Genomic DNA, 8,273 nt, shown 5'->3' with positions numbered 1-8,273 from the left:
CTTCTGCCTCAGTCTCGCTGGGAGCTACAGACTGGAGCTGTTCCTATTTAGCCATCTTGGAAGCAACTCCTCAGTTTTCCTTTTCATTTGGATATCCAATTGACTGAGCACCATTTATTCCAAGACCATCTTCTCCTTTCTTCTCTGCTATGCCACCCTTCACATGAATCAAATGTCTACATGTGTGTAGGTCTTTTGCTGGATCCTATTCTTTTCCATTTTTCTAGTAGTCTTTCCCTGTGCCAATACCATCATCTTGATTATAATAGCTTTATAACATGTATTGATATTCAGTAGTGTGGCTCCTCTAAGTCTACTACTCTTTTTCTTCAAGATTACCTCAGGTCTTATTAGTCCTTTCTATTTCCATATAAACTTTAGAATCAGTTGGTCAATTGCTACCTTTTGGTGTCAGTTGCAATCAGTGTGTTCTGGGAATTTTTTCATATTTCTTAAAAATTTTAATCTCTTATCATAATTCTAATATCCTCATAATATCCTTTTACTTATCAGAAGAACCTGTGGTAATATCCCTTTTTCATTTCTATTATTGGTTATTTGGGCCTTTTCTCTTTTTTTCAGTCACCATTTATCCCAGAGTTTTATCAGGTTTACCAGTTTTGTTTTGTTTTGCTTCTGACACAGAGTCTTCTTTTGTCACCCAGGATGGAGTGCAGTGGTGCCATCACAGTTCACTGCAGCCTTGACCTTGCGGGCTCAAGCAATCCTCCCATCTCAGCCTCCTGAGTAGCTGGGACTACAGGCATGTGCCACCTTGCTGGCTGATTTACTTTTTGTAGAGATGAGGTCTCACCATTTTGCACAGGCTGGTCTCAAACTCCTGGGCTCAAGTGATCCTCCTGCTTCAGCCTCCGAAAGTGCTGGGATTACTGGTATAAGCCACTGTGCCTGGCCAAATTTAGTAGTCTTTTCAAAGAATCAACTTTGCCTTTGTAAATTCTCTTTTATGTTTCTTTTGAAAAACATAATTCCCACTCTTACAGTTATTATTTCTCTGTTTCTAATTACTTTGGGTTTCATTTGATTTTATTTTTGCAATTTTTTGAGGTAGATACTTAGATCATTGATTTCAAGCCCCTTTACTTTTCTAATATATATGTTAAAGTCTATTTCTCTCTAAGCACTGCTTTAGTTTCATCACACAAGATGTATTATGTACTATTTTCATTATTATTCAGTTCAAGCATAGTCTAATTTCCATCATCATTTCTTCAGGGTCACATGGGTTATTTAGAAGTGTGTTGCTTAATTTCCAAATGTGAATTTTCTATTTTTTAATGATTGTTGTTATTGATATTTAGCTCAGTTCTACTGTAGTCAGAGAATATACTCTCTAATTTTAATCTTATGAAATTTGTTAGAGTAGCTTATGGATAGCATATGTTCACTTTTTAATAAATGGTGCAGTTGTTAAGTGCACTGTTCTGCGTATGACAATTAGGTCAAATGTGTTAATGACTACTTAATGTCAGTTATTATTAATATTAGGATTTAGCAGCTAACATATCTGTGTCATTCTTTCAAAATTTCTATTTCTCTGCTGAAATTCTCTATTCTGTTCTTTGAACATATTATTTTAAAGTTCATATCTGCTACCTATCAAATAAAGTAATAAACATCTATCATATATTTTGTCACTTTGGCTTGTAGTTAAGTTATATTTTCTCAAATACCCAAATGTTTTTGATGGGATACCATGCACTGGATATGAAAAATGAAGAGAAAATTGAAGCTCTGGATAATCTTATCTTCCTTCAGAAAGAATTTTCTTTTACTTCTGGAAGTCAGCCTTGAGTTAAGGCCTCCAGATTACCTTGCAATTAAGAATTAAAATGATTTGAAATTGGATTTCAGTGTCTGGGGAGGCTCGTATATTTCCAGTATACTCCCAGTGTATATCCCTCTGGAGTTCCAACTTTCCTTTAGACCTAGATTCCTCCTCTTTGCTAAGCCTTGAACTTTAGTTGTTGCGCCCTAGATCTGTGTCTGCTAAAAATTCTGCTCTGCTTCTCATCTACTGCTTGTAAGAATGCCATCTCTCTTCAAAGGATAGGGCCAAGAAATGCTAGACTCACCTTCGGGCTTTCATCTTCTCCCTAAGATATTTTCCCCACACATCCTAACTGCCTTGGTGTGAGTATGTGTGTGTCTTCCAGCTTTTCTAGTTCTCAGTGGGGAGTTTGGTCCAAACAACTAATTTTCCATGGCTAAAAAGCAGAACTCCTAGTCTTGAGATTTTTAACCTTACAGGGCAATTTCACCTCTTATCAGAGTAATTGGTTCAATAGACACAGACCTATGCCTGAATTTTGACAGTTTTGTGAACTAAAAAAATGATTGTTGTTGTTTTACACCACTAAGTTTTAGAGTGGCTTGTTACACAGCTGTGTATAATTGATGCAGATTTTAGTGCTTGTGCCTGCTTTTGGTACTGCTGCCATAAGAAAAACCTAAGGCTGGACATGGTGGCTCATGCCTGTAATCCCAGCACTTTGGGAGGCTGAGGCTGGCAGATCTCTTGAGCTCAGGTGTTTGAGACCAGCCTGCACAACATGATAAAACCACAGCTCTACAAAAAATACAAAATTATCCAAGTGTGGTGCTATACACCTGTGGTCCCAGCTACTTGGGAGGCTGAGGTGGGAGGATCACTTGAGCCCAGGAGGTCAAGGCTGCAGTGAGCTCAGGCCACGCCACTGTGCTCTAGCCTCTGGGTGGCAGAGTGAGAACTTGTCTCAAACACACACACACATACACACACCACCACCACCAACAACAACAACAACAACAACAAAACTGAAATGTATTATTGGCTTTGGGACCAAATGATTGGTGGAAACTGGAAGAATGTAGTGGAAACCTAAAGAGCCTTGCCAATAATGTTAGTGGAAGCCTAAGAGGTCCCAGGGAAGGTATAACAGCCTTAAGGAAAATGTTATTGGAAGCTGCAGAAAAGGGAACCTTATAGAATAGCAGAATGTAAAAAATAGAAAGATATAATAAACTAAGGATCTAGCTAAGGAAGTTTTCATGTAGAACATTGATGGTGCTACCTGGAATTTTTTAGCTGCCTGTAGTAAAATGGAAGAACAGATGAACCAAAATCTTGTTGTAGGCAGAATTCTAAGATGGCGTCCACCATCTCAACCCCCTGGTATTTCACTCATAATTAGGTTATATGGAAAAAAAGAATTTTGCATGTAATTAAAATATAAAACATAATTAAAGCCCCTTATCATTAACTTTGATTTAATCAAAAGGAGATTATCCTAGGGGGGCTCTTTACCCAATCAGGTGAGCCCTTAAAAGGGCCTGGTCCCATTTTGTGAAAAGATTTGAAGGGCTAGAGGGTCTATGAAGGGGATTGCATGACAATAACCTGACAGTGTCCTGTAAAAGCTGAAAGCAGCAAGAAATAGGAATCTTAGTTATACAGTCCAAAGAAATCATTTCTGTCATCAACCTGAATGAGGGAGCTTGGAAGCAGATCTTTCCCCAGTTGAGCCTCCAGATGAGGCTGCAGCTGGCTGACACCTTGCTTTCAGCCTTGTAAGACCATGAACAGAAGATCCAGCTAAAGCATACTGGACTCCTGATCCATAGAAACTATGAGATAATACATTTGTATTGCTTTAGGCTGTTAAATGTATGGTAATTGGTTACACAGAAATAGAAAGCTAACAAAGTAACTATTTAATTTTCAAGCAAAAGTTAGAGGAATTATAAAGAAGTGAGATATGAAAATTAAACTATGTCTTATTTCAATGTCTTAAAATTGGCAAAATGTTCTTAAATTAAGAAATGGCTTTCAGACAAAGGTTAAATCCAGGATGGGCCTGTAAAATATTTTGTTAAGACCTCAGAATGATTTAAGATGAGACCCCATAGATTATTTTCAATAGACGAAAGTCCTTCTAAGGATCTTAAAGGTGTGCCTCACAACCTTTCTGTTAAGCAATGGGGCTTCTTAGAATTTTAAGGGATTATCACACAGCAGCTTCATAAGGACTCCAATGTTGAAGACAGCTTATCTTAAAAGATTTGAAGTTGTAGCTTTCTTAAAAGTTCTTTTCTTGCCAGGCCCAGTGGCTCATGCCTGTAATCCCAGCACTTTAGGTGGCCAATGCAGTAGGATTGCTTGATGTCAAGAGTTCAAGATCAGCCTGAGCAACATAGTGAGACTCTGTCTCTACAAAACAATTTTTTAAAATTAGCTAGTCATAGTGGAGCAAGCCTGCAGTCCTAGCTACTTGGGAGGCTGAGGTGGGAGGATTGTTTGAGTCTAGGAGTTCAAATTACAGTGAACCAGGATTGCACAACTGCACTCAAGCCTTGGTGACAGAATGAGACTGTGTCTCAAAAAAAATCCTTTTTTAGAAGGATTGAACCTTTATATGATTCATTGAGAATCCACAGAATATTTGAGAGACTTATTCTGGTAGAAGCACTGCTAACTTGAACAAAGAACCATGAAAAGCAGAGCGTCATTCCCAAGGAACAGCATTGGGCATTTATTAAGAAATTAATGACAGGTTCCTGGCTGTTTATCAGAATTGCTATGGACCAATGAATGCTGTGTGGCACCCTGCAAGTTTTCCTTCTTTTTTCAGCTTTAGCATTTGAGTCAAATTCCTGACTTCTGTTTCTTTCTCTCCCCTAGGATGACCAGTGGCAAAACTAAGTCAAAACAGTTTAAGTCTTATATCAAAGCCCATGGTCTCTGAAGGATTCATGTTGCTGTGGGGGTAAGAAATTTTTGACACAAGCATTGGTACTTTTGATCAGTTTCCTGGCTTACATGTCCTTGGGCTTCCATAGACATCTCCAAATGCAAGGAGAGTGAGGAGGATAAGGAGGAGGAGAAGAGACTGACCAGCTGACATTTTTTTAACTTTAGTATTCCCCATTCTCATCTCTGAGCACATGTATGTGAGAATGAGTATTTGCATGCATGCGTATGCATGCATGTGTGTGTGTTTATTTGGATGTTTTTCCCAGAGGGCATTAAAACAACTCTCCCCTACCCTCTCTTCTCCAAACTTACATGTCCTTCTCTCCATTACAGCATGGGCCCTTTGTGATCAAATCTACTTCTCTTGTTTAAAAGGACACAAAACAATATCAGAGAACTCTTTTGTAAAGCACAGAGGCATAGAACGAGGGGAGGTATTCATATATCAATCATTACATAGACGTATTTTACTAGCTCCACCCTCAGCATGGCATCTTCATGGGCCAGTCACTTAGTATTAACCCTCAGACATTCTATATGTAGGCACTAAACTCCCAGGACGTCCTCATTAGTGTAGGCCCAACCTCTGCACAGATGCAGAGAAAAGGCAAGAAAAAGAAATCTGTTAGTCAGGTACATTTCTCTCAGAGATAATTCATAGAGGAAAATGTGGGCTGGCTGACCAAAATGCATAATTCCCTCTTCCAATTACCCCATCAATAAGTGTGCACTTTCATGAAAGAATCAAAGAAGAGAGTTGTCTAAGATGTGCTGCATGTGTTTTTTTTCCTTTCCTGAGGGAAAAACTGACTTTAGGTTTCACCACTCATAAATTATCAACTCATTTCTCACTTATGGCATAAATATCAGTCTGGTTGGTATATGCACCCACACATCAGCTGAGACTGAAGAAAGCTAAATTTACAAAACGTTAAATCAATAAGCATGTGTGAATGGGTAAACAGCGTGATGTCCCTTAACTTAACAAGGCCACAGCATTACTGTTTTGCAACTTCTGAAGTTTTTTCCCTCTAATTTTATAGTGTTGCTAGAATCAAAATGAGTGAAAGTCCTTCGATCAGAAGAATAGAACAATGTACCTCAAAATAGAAAATGAGAAATTATTCCAGGGAGATAAAGCCATGATAATATCCAAAGTGCTGCAATCATTGCAAGATGCTATATTTACAAGAAAGAAAGAATAACTGCAGCTCATTTTCCTTGTAGGTTCTATTAATGAGAAACCATGGAATGGAACAGACAGGGCTGCCAGATGTCTCTCATGAAAATACCAATCCTCCAGATGGGGAGTGGGGGAATACGTAGGAACAAATTAATAAAAATAGCATTTTCTCTCCCTTCTCATCTTGGGGCTCCCCAAAATTATGTCTCCAAACCTACGATGACAGATTGACAATTTCCTTTCATTAAAATATTTCCTTCTGTAGAGAAGTACCTGCCCCAATGTAGGATATCCTTTTGAATTACTAAACAAATGCCATAAAAGGGTAGTCTGGAGTACTTGAACTAGATTACTCTCCAATGCCCAGCACTTTTATAAGGACAATGTACTAGAGGGAACCATGAACAGATGAGAGATGTTAAGAAGTACTATGAATAGGAGGAAGCTATAGTCCTAAATAGTCCTGTGTAAATGCAAAGAAGGATGATAGTGTGGAGTGAGCCAAGCTGCTAGACAAAACACAGAGGGACTCTGGACTTGGAGTAGGCAGGGGTAGAATGTGGGAGAAAGAAGATGGAAAACATGGCATTAATTGGAAGTGGAAGACATAAAACAAACTGCCGGAAGAGGATTAGGGCTGCTAGGTGGGTTCCGGCCTCTCTATTCATTCACCTGCCCAGCATGTAGACCAACTCTTTATCCTTATTTTTTATTTTATTTATTTATTTATTTACTTTTTTGAGACGGAGTCTTGCTCTGTCACCCAGGCTGGAGTGCAGTGGTGTCATCTCAGCTCACTGCAACCTCTGCCTCCCTGGTTCAAGCAATTCTCCTGCCTTAGCCTCCCGAGTAGCTGGGATTACAGGCATATGCCATCACACCCAGCTAATTTTTTGTATTTTAATAGAGACAGAGTTTCACCGTGTTGCCCAGGCTGGTCTCGAACTCCTGAGCTCTGGCAATCTGCCTGCCTCAGCCTCCCAAAGTGCTGGGATTACAGGTGTGAGCTACTGCGCCCGGCCCCACTTATTCTTAAATAAATACTATGTGCCAACTCCCTCCATTTTCTCTGCCATCATTGCTACACATAAACATGCACCTTCCAGGTGGCTTTTCTACTCAAGGGTGAGAAGAAGTAAGAAAACATACTAACATATGCAACAGGAGAAAAATCAACATCTAATGCCTTAAAAAGGTAATCTACTCCACTTTAATTTTTATTTATTTATTTATTTATTTATTTATTTTTGAGACAGGTCTCCCTCTGTCACCCTGTGTGTGATTGCAATGGCACAATCACAGCTCACTGCAGCCTCAATCTCCTGGGCTCAGGCGATCCTCACACCTCAGCCTCCGGAGTAGCTGGGACTACAGGCACATGCTACCATGCCCAGCTAATTTTTTTTTTTTTTTTTTTTTTGGTAGAGATAGGGCTTTGTCATGTTGCCCAGCTGGTTTCAAACTTCGAGACTCAAGAATCCACCCACTTCATCCTCCCAAAGTGCTGAGATTACAGACATGAGCCACCGCACTTGGGTTACTCCATTTTTACATGGGAATGGACAACAAATCATATGGATAAAACCAGACTTACAAAATGGAAAGTCTAAAATAAAGAAAATAGCTGGTCTTCAATAAATATGAGATAATTTAGGAAAGACAAGAGAATGAGAATAAGAAAAGGAAAGCTGGAATGTATGTATGTATGTATGTTTTTAAATGCATGAAATATCTTTGGAAGGATATGTAAGAAATTAATAATGTTGTCTCTAGGGCTACAGCTTCGAGAGAGCTTACTTGTCACAATATACTTTTTAACCTGTTAGTTTTGTCCCAGGGGTATATGTAAATATTTAAATTAATAAATATAATATATGTATAACGTAAGAACAGGATACTATGAAAAAGGAACAATCAGAAAACAAAGGGCTCTTGGAAATTAAAAACATTATTGATGAAATAATAGAAGGGTTGGCATAACAGAAAATATACAGAGACAGAAAATCTCACTAGTTGAACTTCATTAAAAAAAACAGAAAAAGGGATATTTTCAAAGAAATAGTAGAAGGAAATGTCCCAGTACTAAAGAGAGACCTGAGTCTTTAGATTAAAATTACTTTTTCATAACTCTTTTCTTCTCCTGTGTTAAAAGCTAACTGCACAAAACAATGTTGATGGGCTTATAACATGAAAAGATGTAATTTTTATGACAATAATAACAGCACAATGGAGGAAGGGATATGTACTGGGGAAAAGTTTCTATGTAATATTGAAATCAAATTAATATTAATTCGAACTAGATTATTTTAAATTAAGATTAAACTTGTTCACCAAATT

At 38.3% G+C, this 8,273-nt stretch overlaps 1 annotated feature.

The window, feature by feature from the left end:
• Positions 7,208-7,417: a silencer, noted in NCBI's record as "fragment chr7:103691916-103692125 (GRCh37/hg19 assembly coordinates)". NCBI's record gives its function as "represses an EF-1alpha promoter that drives an FKBP-Casp9 reporter gene in an ReSE screen in K562 erythroleukemia cells {active_cell/tissue: K562}" and the evidence as "EXISTENCE:reporter gene assay evidence [ECO:0000049][PMID:32094911]".

Source organism: Homo sapiens, chromosome 7 (genome assembly GCF_000001405.40).
Source record: "Homo sapiens chromosome 7, GRCh38.p14 Primary Assembly".
NCBI lineage: Eukaryota > Metazoa > Chordata > Mammalia > Primates > Hominidae > Homo > Homo sapiens.
Note: the sequence above shows the minus strand (reverse complement) of the source record. Positions and strands in the feature narration are given on the sequence as shown.